Here is a 14,904-nt window from a genome sequence, read left to right on the forward strand (position 1 = left end):
CCCAGGGAGGGTATGGAAGCTCCACGCCTCCTTTCTTATAACTCGCCCTACGCATCTTTTCATCTGTATCCTTTGTAATACCCTTTATAATAAACTGGTAAATGTAAGTAAGTATTTTCCTGAGTTCTGTTAGCAGCTCCAGCAAATTAATAGAAACCAAAATGGGGCTGTGGGAACTCCAACTTGAAGCCAGGCCATTGGCCATTCAGGAGGCCTGGACTTGTGACTGGTGTGTGGGGGGAATTTGGGGGGCATTTGTGCGGATTGGGCCCTCAAGCAATGGGATCTGACACTATCTCCAGGTAGATAGTGTTGGAATTGAATTGGAGGACATGGAGCTGGTGTCTGCTGCTTAGTGTGTGGGGCAAAACCCCTACAAATTGGTCATAGAAGTCTTTTGTGTTGATGATTGTTGTGGTGGTGTGAGAGCAGAGGAAAAACAGCTTGAGAAAGTTTTTTTCTGACATACTGGGTGGTAGTGGTAGGATATTCTGGTCTGGCACAGGCTCAGAGAAACATCTGGTTTGGGAAGAGAAAGGATAAAAAGGTGAAGGGATGAAGAACCATTGATTCCTATGTGGCCACGTGGCCACCCACTGTATAAAGCTACAGCTGAGTTGAGATCAGCTACTAAAGGTAAAAGTTACCAGTGGACTTTAGAGATGAACCTAACTTCCAGTGAATTGGTTCACTGGATATATAAGGAAATGCAAACTATGAAAAAAAGCAAAATATTCGATCCCTTGGCTATTGCTATGTATAATAGCTAAAATGAAACTAAGAGAGCATTGGGTTGGGCCTTGAGGCTGGACCAAGCTCAGATGTGAGTTTGTCTAAGCTCAGGCCACTAGCCTCAATGCCACCCACAATGGAGAAAATTATACCGGGACAACAGAAAGTACCTCTGAGACCTGTGGTTACCAAGAATGTAGTTAATGTGGGGGAAGGGCAAAATCAAGCACTATGGTTTGGATTTGTGTCCCAGCCCAAATCTCATGCCCCCAGTTGTAATCCCCAGTGTTGGAGGAGGGGCTTAGTGTGAGGTGATTGGATCATGGGGGTAGATTTCTCCCTTGCTGTTCTCATGATAGTGAGTTTTCATGAAATCTGGTTGTTTAAAAGTGTGTAGCACCTCCTCCTTCACTCTCTTCCTCCTGTTCTGGCTGTAAGATATGCCTGCTTCCCCTTCATGTTCCTCCATGATTAAAGGTTCCTGAGGCCTCTCCTGCCACGCTTCTGGTATAGCCTGTGGAACCATGAGCCAATTAAACCTTTTTTCTTTATAAATTACCCAGTCTCAAGTATTTCTTCATAGCAATGAAAGAACAGACTAATACAGAAGATTGGTACCAAGGAATAGGGCACTACTATAAAGACACCTGAAAATGTTGAAGTGACTTTAGAACTGGCTAACACCCAGAGGTTGGAACAGTTTGGAGGGCTCAGAAAAAGACAGGAAAATGAGGGACAGTTTAGAACTTCCTAAGACTTGTTAAATTGTTGTGACTGAAATGCTGATAGTGATATGGACAATGAAGTCCAGGCTGAGGTGGTTCCAGATAGAGATGAGGAACTTACTGGGAACTGGAATAATGTTCACTCTTACTATGCTTTAGCAAAAAGACTGGTGGCATTGTGCCCCTGCCCTAGGGATCTATAAAACTTTGAACTTGAGACAGATGTGTTAGGGTATGTGGTGGAAGAAATTTCTCAGCAACAAAATGTTCAAAATGTAGCCTGGATGCTTTTAGCAGCCTAAACTTCTGTTTGTGAGCAATGAAATGATGTAAAACTGGAACTTATATTTAAAAGGGAAGAAGAGTTTAAAAGTTTGGAAAATTTGCAGCTCAGCCATGTGGTAGAAAAGAAAAATCCATCTTCTTGAGAGGAATTCAAGCCTGCTGCATAAATTTGCATAAGTAAGGAGGATCCCTGCGATAATGGGGAAAATGCCTCAAAGGCATTTCAGAAACCTTTATGGAGTCCCCTGCCATTGGAAGCCCAGAGGCCTAGGAGGGGAAAATGGTTTCCTGGGCCAGGCCCAGGGCCCTGATGCTCTGTGTAGCCTTGGGACATGGTGCCCTTTATTGTGTCCATTCCAACTCCAGCCATGGCTAAAATGGGCCAAGGTACACCTCAGGCCATTGTTCCAGATGGTGGAAGCCAATAGCCATGGTGGCTTCCATGTGATGATAAGCCTGTCGGTGTAAAGAAGGCAAGAGTTGAGGCTTGGGAGCCTCTGCCTAGATTTCAGAGGATGTATGAAAATGCATAGATGTCCAGACAGAAGTCTGCTGCAGGCTTGGAGCCCTCATGGAGAACCTATACCAGGGCAGTGTGAAGGAAAAATGTGGTATTGGAGCCCCCAAACAGAGTCCCCACTGGGGCACTGTCTATTGAAGTTATGAGAACAGGGCCACCATCCTCCAGAACCCAGAATGTTAGATCCACCAACAGCTTGCACCATGCACCTGGAAACGTTGCAGGCACTAAATGTCAGCCCTTGAGAGTAGCCATGGGAGCTGAGTCCGGCAAAGCCACAGGGGGAGAGCTCTCCAAGGCCTTGGGAGCTTACTTCTTGAATCACTGTGGTCTGGAGGTGAGATATGGAATCAAAGGAGATTATTTTGGAGCTTTAAGATGTAATGACTGACCTGCTGGGTTTTGGACTTGCACAGGTCTGTAGCTTCTCTCATTTGTCTGATTTCTCCCTTTTGAAATATGTGTATTTATCCAATGCCTGTACCCCCATGGTATCTTGGAAGTAACTAACTTTTTTTTTATTTTACAGGTTCATAGGCAGAAGGGACTTGCCTTGTCTCAGATAAGACTTTGAACTGTGGACTTTAGAGTTAATGATGAAATAAGTTAAGACTTGGGACACCGTTAAAGAGGGGTGATTGTATTTTACAAGATGAGAAGAACGTGATATTTGAGAAGGGCCAGAATAATATGGCTTACATTTGTGTTCCCACCCAAATCTCATGCCTTCAGTTATAATCTCCAATTTTTAAGGAGGGACCAGGTGGGATGTGATTGGATCATGGAGGTATATTTCCCCCTTGTTGTTCTCATGATAGAAGGTTCTCATGAGATCTGGTTGTTTAAAAGTGTGTAGCAACGCCTCTTTCATTCTCTTCCTCCTGTACCAGCCATGTAAGATGTACTAGCTTCCCCTTCACCTTCTGCCATGATTGAAGGTTTCCTGAGGCCTCCCTACCCATGCTTCCTGTACAGCCTATAGAACCACGTGCAAATTAAACCTTTTTCTTTATAAGTTGCCAAGTCTCAGGTATTTCTTTATAGAAGTGCGAGAACATGCTAATACACCCAGTAACCCAAGAACAAACTAATATACCCAGAGGGTATAGTGTGAAGGAAGTGTTTCATTTTATACATTAGTATTGTCAGCTTTCTAAACAACCTTTACTAAGATGAATTATGAGAGTGAATAATTCTCTCTCATGGGGTGATATCTTTGGTTTCAAACAATGCAGAGTAGAAGAGCACATTTGGGTTGATGCAGAACCCAGAGCTCAAAATTGAGCAATGGGTATATATGATCCAGACATATAGGAGGTTGATAGTCCTCTGTGGAGTGTTTACTGGGGCTTTTTTCAAAAGCTGTGAGCACTCCCAGCAATATGAGTACTGAGGATTTGAACTAGAGAATTTTCACTTGATGTGCACTTACTGCCTTAGCATGAGATGTTGACTGAAACTACCTTTATGGCTGAAGGATGTTAAGTAATTTTAACACCTGAAATACCAGTACTGTTTTGGATGTCGGAGAAATGTTTTAATGGGGATGGTAGTACCCAGAAGTGTTCCATAAGATAATAGTAATGGTTTATACAGGAGCATGCTACCCAGGGAATGCAAGGAGAAAACACTCACAAGCTAGGAGCATCTTTAACTCTCGGACTGACTCTGAAACTGTGTGAGGTGCTGCTGGATCCTATTGACACTTGGACAATGCACTATGAAGAGCTCTTGGTTGACAAACAAGGAGCTGCTTAGTTTATGGATGGCAGTTCCAAAGGGAATGAACAACATTCTGTTTGGAAGTCTGCTGCTTTGATCAAAGAAGGTAAAAACAGATCAGCTTGATGGGGTGAATTGCTTGCTATTTTGAAATGAAGAATTAAAGAATGGTACAAGCCCCTGTGTTTAGGTTTTTACTCACTCATGGGCAGTGACCAATGGCCTGGCCATACACTCAGGCAAGCGGGCAATGGAAACCAGCTTATTAAACAGATGCTCATAAGGTGCATAGCTCTATGGAAGTTTGAGGGGTGCATTAGAGTAGAACAAGTCAATGCCTATCAGAAGAACTCCCTTCAGGTTCAGAAGGTGACAGGAATTGACAAGCAGATAGCCCCGTGTACTCCCTTGAGGTGTCCACCTGTGTCCATAAAATGAGTGGATATGGTCTTTTCCACCCTCTCAGGCACATAATACCAGTAAGAACTGTTTTGCTTCTCAGCAAGAAAAGCAGAGACTGCTTATGTCTATAGAGCAGATTCCCTGGTTCGAAGGCCGTGTACAAAGCTTGCAATTGAGACTGAGGCCAGTAGCTCTGAGGGGGCTACAAATGGATCTTGACAGGAATAGGCACTGGGTTTTATGGACTGGGTTTGCTTACCCAGTAGAAGATGAAAATGCTTACGGTGCTATTAAAAAAAGAAAACTGAAACAGAAAATGTTGCATTAATTTGAATGGCTTACCATTCTTTCTTTCATTTTTTTTTTTTTTTTTTTTTTGAGATGGAATCTTGCTCTGTTGCCCAGGCTGGAGTGCAGTGGCACGATCTCAGCTCACTGCAACCTCTGCCTCCCAGGTTAAAGTGATTCTCCTGCCCCACCCTCCCGAGTAGCTGGGATTACAGATGCCCATCACCATGCCCAGCTAACTTTTTTATTTTTAGTAGAGACAAGGTTTCACCATGTTGGCCAGGCTGGTCCCAAACTCCTGACCTCAGGTGATCCACCCACCTCAGCCTCCGAAAGTGCTGGAATTACAGCTGTGAGCCACAGTCCCTGGCCCATTATTTCTTCAGATCGTGGAACACACAACCCATATGTAATGTCAACAGTGGGCAGAGAGATACTCTTCTTAGAGTAAAAGTTTGATAGAGAAATAGAATGGGGCAATTGAAACATTGATTGTCTAAAACAAGGGGAGATAAAAGCATGAAGGGTGGCTTACACGCCTTCACTAGTGTGTGCTCACACTCAACATGATTGGGACTGCTGTCCCCACCAGATTTTTCTGTTTTCCTGGGTTATCTGAAAACAGGGGTTAGGGAGGATGGTGGTATGACTATGCAATTCTCATCAAGGGAGGAGTAAAATGGTGTAATGACTATAATTTTTTTCCTTTCAATTCACCTAAAAAATTTATCTCCTACCTGATGGAGTAGTGATCATAGTACCAGGGCTGCAACTACAAATGCTGGAAGCAGGGATGATTTCTAAGTAATAAACTGTAACTATGGTTTTAAGCCTTATGTCAGAATTCCTAAGGGCCTGATGGCAGTGGGTGTGCCTTTACCCCATCTAGCAAAATTGGGATTGAGAATGAACACAGCTATATTGCCTGGTGGTAAAAACAGCTCACTGGTTCTGCAGCTCTGTAACTTTACCTTATCTGAATGGGAGTGGACTGGGGAGAAGACACTTGGCAGACTTGACAGCTGCCTGCGATCTAGACCAGCAGAGTGGTGATTCGAAAGTCCCTTCTAAAAGTGAAAACATTAGGTAGAGTATTAATGGAGAGACGTGTAAAGGAGTGAATAAATGGGTTATAAATTGAGAGAAATCCAACATTACATTAATACTTTGAAAGAGGCTCAGAGGAAGCAATGACATTGTTTCTTAGCTCCATTATTCCAGATGCCTGAAATGGTGAAACTGTGTATTTGCAGAGACCACTCTGCTTTCAAAACCTGACAAGATTGAAAGGAACCCTGCTCTCCTGAGTAGCCTCACCCTAGGAGGCATTCATACAATATGATGAACTGGACTCATTATTAATGATTATATAAATCCTTTCGATGTAAGGGATCAGTGCTTGAAAACCAGGCATGGCCTGGTATAATATATATTAATCATATATCTGCATACGATTTGTCCACAGTTCTTGGCTCATAACTCCTATAGTCCTTGCTATAGACTTTTGTTATAATGCTGGGTGTGTTAGGCCTCAGGAAACAGAATCTCTCTTCTGCCCTCCTTTCACCTGCCTCAAGGCAGAACTCTAATCTTCACCTATCTTTCAGATTGTAGGTCTTAAGACCCCTCCCTTGAGAGGGTCCCACCCATCCTAGGGGATGAAATGCTGATTTTATGAAGCTTCCATAAAAATCCAAGAGGACAGAGTTAGGAGGGCTTCCAGATAGCTGAACACATGGAATGTCCTGGAAGGTGGCGCGCCAAGGAGGGCAAGGAAGCTCCAGGCCCCTTTCCCCATACCTCCCCCTACAAATCTCTTCATCTATATTCTTTGTCATATCCTTTAGAATAAAATAGTAATCATAAAAAACGAAAAACAAAAAAAAACACCCATTTTAAATCTTCTCTGAGCTGCAAAATTTCGTAACTTTTGTTACTGTTTTAAGTAAAATACGTAAATGGAATAACATTTTGTTCTACTATAGTAGAACAATTATTAGCAGGCATAGAATTGGGCAAAAATCTGTAGCTGGGTCCGTTTATTGACACTGAAATAACTTCAGTGCAAATGCTTTGAAATATTAAAAAATGTACAGAAAAATTCTGAAATAATTGCAATGTGGTTGAAAAGATAAAACCAAGAGAGAAAACCAGGGATTTTACTATGATCTTTCAAGAAAAAAAAATTTTTAACTGTTTTATTTTTTTAAATTAACTGCATGGTTGTTAGGAAAGATGACAGTTGTACAGAGGATAAGTAAGCTATTTTGCAGAACCAGAGATGTATACAATCAAGAGAACTACATTATATTGTTGGCCCTAATCACAGCTCTACTACTAAGTCCAAAGGAGGCTTGAGGCCCTGAGAGGCAGTCAGCCTTTCCAGGAAAGACTGGTGGTATTTTTTTTCTCAATGGGAACACAGAAACTTATATATGATGCCTTTAAAGATCATCAAAGTCATAATTCTTACATAAGAAGCTGAGGCATAAACTCTAATCTTTAACATTTGAAAGACCTTGGGCAAGAGAGGAAAGAGAGGCCCACATATATGTAAATCTTAAAGAATCATGAATTGAGCCACAGATTTTAAGTGAAATTTAAGTAAGCATGTTTTTTCCTCTTTCCTTGACAATTAACCTATAATGTCAAAATAATATTTGAAAACCTATGGGCTTACAATGAACTAAACGTGGTAAAATATTTTATACAACTGAATTTAATCATTACTACATGTCTGAGTATTTTGGTTGTATTTGGATAAGCAATAAAATAAAGACATGTAAGTTATATTTTTGTTTTATACTTTTCAATAAATTTGTGTCAAAGGGTAGAAAGTTTCAGTTATGCAGCATGAATAAGTTCTGGAAGTCTAATATACAATATGAGAACTGTGGTTAATGATGACGTATTGTACACTTGAAATTTGCTAAGCAGGTAGATCTTCAGCGTACTCACCACAACAAAATAAAAACTGTGAGAGATGATGAATATGTTAACTAGCTTGATTGTGGTGATTATTTCACAATGTATACCTATATTAAAACACTTTAAATATCTACAATTTCTATTTGCCAATTATATCCCAATAAAACTGATAAAAATTTTGGTGTTTTTGTTTTAATCTCAGAAAAATAAAAATTTCTGTCTTTATAATTAAACATTTCATGTAACTTGTTCTCTGTTGCAAGTAATCCCAAATTAGAACACTTTTTGAGCGATTTTACTTCTTAGGTAGCTCTTCAACATAAATTTCGGCATGGCAAAACTTGACTCTGCTGAGACGATGGCAACTGGAAGTATAATTAAACAGCATAGTCATACCTAGATTCGGACATGAACAATTCATTTTAAAAATTGTGTGCAAACATTGTAATGAGCTTATAGATCATAAATTCATTACCAAAGCCACAAAATATTCTAATTTCTTCATATAATTTTCAAGTCACTTAAGAATCATACAATATTTCTGAAATTCTTTCATATTTTTAATGCTGGAATATTATAAAGAAAATGTTAAAAGAAGTATGTTGATCACTTTGATAAAAATTCTCTTCAGTCAGGAATATACGTTGACATATAATGGCAAAAAAAAGAGTGTCTGTAGTAATTAGTTTTAACATTACTTCTCTGAAAAATTTTCTTTTCCATAGTCACAAAAATATTTTTGTTGCCTTGCTCTATTTTCCTTATATTTGAAAGTCAATTTTGTCCCATATTCCTCTATTTTTTTCCTAAAACAATCTCTATCTTTAAAATATTTTATAATTATTTAAAAAATTATTTTAAGTACAATAGACAAATGTAAATATGTTCTGTTTTTACTAACATAGCAAACAAAAGTTCATATCCTATTACTATGTACAGAAAAATAAAAATGAGCATAATTTACAGTTTACAGAAACTCAAATTTCCTTTTGGCTTAAGAATCATTTGCCACTTCAGTAACTTTTCTTATGTATTTTGATAAACTTAAATTGCTTTAACAGCATTTGGTTGACATTTATATTTTGTGCCTGAGAGTGCCTGTAAGTTCAAGTTGATACATGTGTCATTCATCAAGATATTTCATCTTTGGGCTGATTCAAAATATATTGTATCTAAACTATAAATTGTTCCAAAAAGTGTCATCTATATAGGCACAACTGAGGTCATGTCTCCTTGAAGAAAATTCAGACTAAGTACTATATATGACACTCCACACACACACACACACACACACACACACACACACGCACATCGCACTTCTGGATTTGGAGCTAAATGAAGTAAATGCCATTATCATAAGATTATTTTTAACAATATTTTAAAATACTGTAAATAATGCTGAGGATTTAAATTTACCTTTAAATTAAATTTTTTATTAGGGATAGATTAAAATCATTTTTATTTCTAGCATTCAATATTCATCCAGGTACCAATTTAAAGACTGATGTGATTCTTCATGTATATTGCATCTAGAACTACATAAGAATAATATAAATTATTAAATAATACTAAATATTTTTTAGCCATCATGTCCTACTATTGAAAATGTGCATTAATTTGTTACACCTCTAGAACCATAAAAGAGAGGCAAAGACCCAAAGGATTATAAATCATGCTGCTATAAAGACACATGCACACATATGTTTATTGCGGCACTATTCACAATAGCAAAGACTTGGAACCAACCCAAATGTCCATCAATGATAGACTGGATTAAGAAAATGTGGCACATATACACCATGGAATATTATGCAGCCAAAAAAAATGATGAGTTCATGTCCTTTGTAGGGACATGGATGAGCTGGAAACCATCATTCTCAGCAAACTATCGCAAGGACAAAAAACCAAACACCATGTTCTCACTCACAGGTGGGAACTGAACAATGAGAACACATGGACACAGGAAGGGGAACATCACACACCTGGGCCTGTTGTGGGGTGGGGGTAGGGGGGAGGGATAGCATTAGGAGATATACCTAATGTTAAATGACGAGTTAATGGGTGCAGCACACCAACATGGCACATGTATACATATATAACAAACCTGCATGTTGTGCGCATGTATCCTAAAACTTAAAGTATAATAAAAAAAAAAAAAAAAAAAGAGAGGCAAAGAAAATGGACACGTGGCACTGCTAGAAAATAACACTTCTTTATGGAGGAGGCTATTACATTCATGCTCTCTGAGAGGAAGAATTTGACAAATTATTCTGCACTACTCCTACTGAAGTCCTCCCCACCCTGTGAAACAGTGTCTATCTCCTACATTGTCAGGGGCACAAACTGCGCATCTTTCCCTCGTTTGGATATTGTGGTCTTGTGTCAAAGTCACAGAGAAAGAGAAGTGGCAAAGTGCTTCCTGGGCTTCTTTTAGGTATTTAACACCCTCTGATGCCAGTGACCTAGGACAAAGTCAGAAAACAAAACTGCCTAGGAAAGGGGATTTAATTGTTCAAGATGTTTCACAGCCAATTAGTAATAAAGCCAAGTGTAGTACTATGGTTTCTTAATTCCCTGTATGGAGTTTTTTTAAAAAAACATTTAAGCTTTTTATTTGCTGTGAAAAGCCTGTATAAAGTTATGTTAGTATATCTTCCTAATTTTATTATCATTCAAAGAAAGCATGAGAGTTATGATAAATCATATAGTGACTTTGTCTAAATGAACTCTATAGTAAACTGCGTGCTATAGCTCTGAAAAACCAAGGTAATATAGTAATAAAAATTGGCATTTGATATTTTTGTGACATTTCATACTATTTTTTTTTTTTTTTTTTTGAGACAGAGTCTCGCTCTGTTGCCCAGGCTGGAGTGCAGTGGCACAATCTCGTCTCACTGCAACCTCTGCCTCCCAGTTTCAGGTGACTCTCCCAAGTAGGTGGGATTACAGGTGCATGCCATCATGCTTGGCTAATTTTTGTATTTTTAGTAGAGATGGGGTTTCACCATGTTGGTCAGGCTGGTCTCTAACTCCTGATCTCCAAGTGATCCACCCGCCTCGGCCTCCCAAAGTGCTGAGATTACGGGCAGGCATGAGGCACCACACCAGACCACATTTCTTACTATTAACTAGATAAATCTAAAAAAGTGTACAGAAATTTGAAAGACTAGTGAACTCAGAGTCAAGAAGCCTTGATTTTAATCTCAGCTCTGTAATTGGCTACACATTGTAGTTTCTCTTAGGCAAAACAAATAAATAAGAAAACATGAAAATTCAACTTTTTTTTTTAGCTCTATGAGTTTATACATAATAAGCTTAACAAATAAATATAAGGAAGAAAAATTATTTTATTGTATGTCAGTAGATTTTTCTCTTCAATAAAGAGAACTGTTTTGCCTCTTTGTTCAGAGCTGTGATTTTAAAATGAGGCCCCTCATAGAACATCATCCACATTATCTGAGAGCTAGTTAGAAAAGAAAATGCTCAGGGCCTATACCAGACCTATTGAATTAGAAACTGGGGCTGTAACCATCAGTTTTCATTTTATTTCTAGGTGATGTCAGCGTATCCTCATGTTTAGGAACCACTGCTCCAGAATACTCCTTTAGACCTGGGAAAAATGTAAAGAGAAAGTGATAAAATTTGGTGTGAATAAGTTATGGAAACATTTGGCAGATGTTAAAGATGGAGGCTACAAATTAATTTTGTATAAACAAAGTGGGTTAAATGTAACCTTCACAATATGAGAAAAGAGACTATAAAATATTCATGCTCCTTACCTAGTGTTTCTCAGAAAATGGTTAATGATTTGAGGTGCTAAGTGCGTTTCTATTAGTGGCAATGATCGATCTTTTATGTAATGCGAAAGGGGTTTACATTGTTCTGTTTTTCAACAAAGCAAGTAACAAAATGTGGCAAGGAAAGGTAGAGACAGAGAGCTCACATTTAAGTACACAAAGAGGACCAGGACTCTTTAACCATTCTAGGATTAATAGATGAAGCCGGAAGCAACTTTTATTTGCAACATTTTCTTTGTGAAAGAGAGCAATGTTTTTCTTGAAATCAGTTTTCAGATGTGAAACTAAGAAACAGTATGAGAAAGCCCAAGAGCCAAGTGACAAAAGTTCTAAAGAAAGAAGCAGATATCCCAGGACACAGGAGCACACTCTAGTTGATTCCAAGAGCCTAGAAGAATACCATCTGGATTATTGCCCTTGAATCTCCTTATCATTTAATTATGAGTTTAATCAAGAATACATACTAGCAACTAACATTGAAATTCATTGTATGTCATGGTACAGAAGGTCTAGAAAACCCATTTTACTGTGTGTTTTCAGTCATTTGATGCTAATTAGGAGGCATTTTAATAGAGCTTTGGGCATCAGAACAAAACCTCTAGGTACGATTATTCACATACATGTGAATTGGGTGGATTCTAACCAACTATTTTAGTTCGCAGACTGCATTAATAAAATAGCTATAACAAGGCTTATTTCTTTTTGTGCATGCTGTATGTTATATTAGCATGATAGCTGAGGGAAGAGACAAGTAAGCAAATGTATTTATGCACTGAAGAGCTAAAGAATAGCCAAAGATATTAAAATAAAGGAGAAATAATGTTTGATAAATGTAAGGAGACTTGAAAGCACCAGGAGTACACTGATACATGCCATTTATGCAATATCAATTCCAGCCAGTTATTTCAAACTTTGTGTTATTGAAAAATAGCTAAACTTAGAGTCATTCAGAAAGACAAATAAAAAGGGAGAAAATGTAGTATAAAAACATTAGAAGGATATATGTAAAATAGATGCATAAGTTAGTCTTCAACAAAAATGTTACTGGTGCTATTTTGTAGAAAGAACATTTTCCCTTTTGAAAATATGTAGAAAAATAATAAAAGAAATTAAAATTATTCTACAAGTTTCTTTTATTAGTATTAAAGATCCTATCAAACCAGACTCCTTAAAATTAAACTCAAGATTTCTCTAGATCCAAATTACAAGTTAAATTTATTTTATTATTTGTTAATGTTAAGGTAACTCTGGATCAAATTTATTATGCACTGTTGGAAAGTAAATTAGTAATCCACTCAGTATATTTGGATTGAGAGTTGTCAAAAGAAAAACTTTAGGTAAAATAAATTTAACAGGATTTATTTGAGCAAAGAATGACTCATGATTCAGGCAGCACTCAAAATTGAAAGAGGTTCAGAAATCTCTGCTCCAGCAACTTGAGCAGCAAGGTTGTTTAGGCTGAACATGGAAACAAATAAGTTACTTAATTGGCTATAGCTAGGTGTTTGCTTTACTTATGTATGGTCTAATGGGAGATCTCTTGTCATATAACCAATTGGCTGGTTGACTAGTTGTGATTGGCTGAGGATCTCTCTCTCCCCTTAAATCAGTTACAAGAAATGCCTACAAATTAAATTTCAGGTTCCTTAAGTATAAGCTTTGGTTACAGAGACAACCTTTGGCTAATGGCCTTCTTATTTGCTTTGATAGAGTAAAGCATATGTTAGTAATGATGTTTTCCACCTAAAATATTCATATGCTGATATATATTTATTTTGTAAAAACTCATAATTCAAATTCATAAAAATAAAAAAGAAATAAAATTCATTATCAAGATTTCTATTATAATTATGGACATACAGAAGAATTTCAATAATTCCAATTAAAGTATATTTTATCACTGCAATTGTTTTCATATTGAAACAGACAGTAAAAACATCAAAGTAATAGCTACAATAAAAATTATTAATTATTTACCTCTGAGAAAATGGTGGGGAATATGTTTCAAACTGAAAGCTATAGAAACATGGAAAATGTTATATTTTAACTTCAGACAAAAAGCAACACAGTTTCAGTGCAATAAGGCAACAGAGAATCAAGTAATGAAAATAAGTCATTGCTAGGGAACTTGAACCATGACTAAAACATAATCAAAAATGTGTCACTGCTGAAATATAAAATATCTTTGTCAGACATCAAAAATTAAATGGGCTTTAATGTTGCATTATATTACACAGACAGAGCCCACATTACTGATCCTTGTTCTCCACTTGGGAATGAGGGTGACCTTATAACACAGAAAAAATTATGATTTGAAACATAAAGCAATAACTTTTGTCTCATGACACCAGTGTGAGGAGTTTGTCTGGGTGTTTTCAAATTATTTCCTCCCATTTTTTAATAGCTATCACACTTTCTGTAATACTTAAATATTAGTTTTATATGAAAAATATAAAATAGATTATCATTTATATTTTATGTAGTCTTTTATAAAAGCCCTTTAATTTTTATTAAATATAAATAAATACCAGTAATACAACAAATATTTATTTTTGCTTCTAATACATCTTGCCCAACTATCATTAAATGGGCAGTCAAATTATATATTAAAAAGTAAATATATATACCATATCATGAGAGTTTTATATAATTCGAGATGGAACATAGTATGGAAAGTAAGAAAGACAATAGTTATTGAGACATTAGAGAAGTAGTTAATTTGGGCATCAGGATAAGTAAAAGACCAACTAGTGGTCTCCAAACTCCAGAGCAGTTGAAGCCTCTCTTGAGGATGTCAAAGAAAAAATATACATGTGCTTTTTTTCAGGTCTCAGAAATTATAACATGTTTGGACAATGGTCTTCGAATGAATGCATTCAAAAGTTTAAAGCCAGAATCTCTATCTCCTTCACTAAAATATTTAGTATTTCATGTATTGTGGCAGGACTCATGTGTTAAGTCATAAAAACACCCATGAAGTTAAGACTGGAAGCCTGGGTTATAACCAAGTAAGCACTTAAGATTGTCATGCTAACCAATGGTCTGAGTACTGCTGCTAATAATGTTTATTAGGCAATCATATCTGGACTGTGGTTTCTGGTATAAATTAACTTCTGATTTCTCTTATTAGTGACTCAACAAAGAGAATGATATTATGTTCATTTGTTTCATTGTGAGATTTTATTTTTACCAAAATATAAATAGAATAATTTTATTTCAGTTTTAGAAATAGAAATAGAAACAATATTGAAGCTAATACAATATAGAAAAACCCAATCAATCTTGTATTCAAGATGGGGTAGAGAAGTTCATATTCCCTTGGAAATGTTCTCAGTTTCACAATAATGTTTAGTCTCTAATTATTAATTATTCTTGCTCATATCATCAGAAGTTTCTATCTGTGAGAAATTTAGAGATTCCTGGGAAGAGTTCAACAATGTATTTTCATCTTGGTAAAAGTCTGATTTATGAATAAATAGCAGACATTTGTCCTTTCAAAAACAAC

Source organism: Homo sapiens, chromosome 5 (assembly GCF_000001405.40).
Source record: "Homo sapiens chromosome 5, GRCh38.p14 Primary Assembly".
Lineage (NCBI taxonomy): Eukaryota > Metazoa > Chordata > Mammalia > Primates > Hominidae > Homo > Homo sapiens.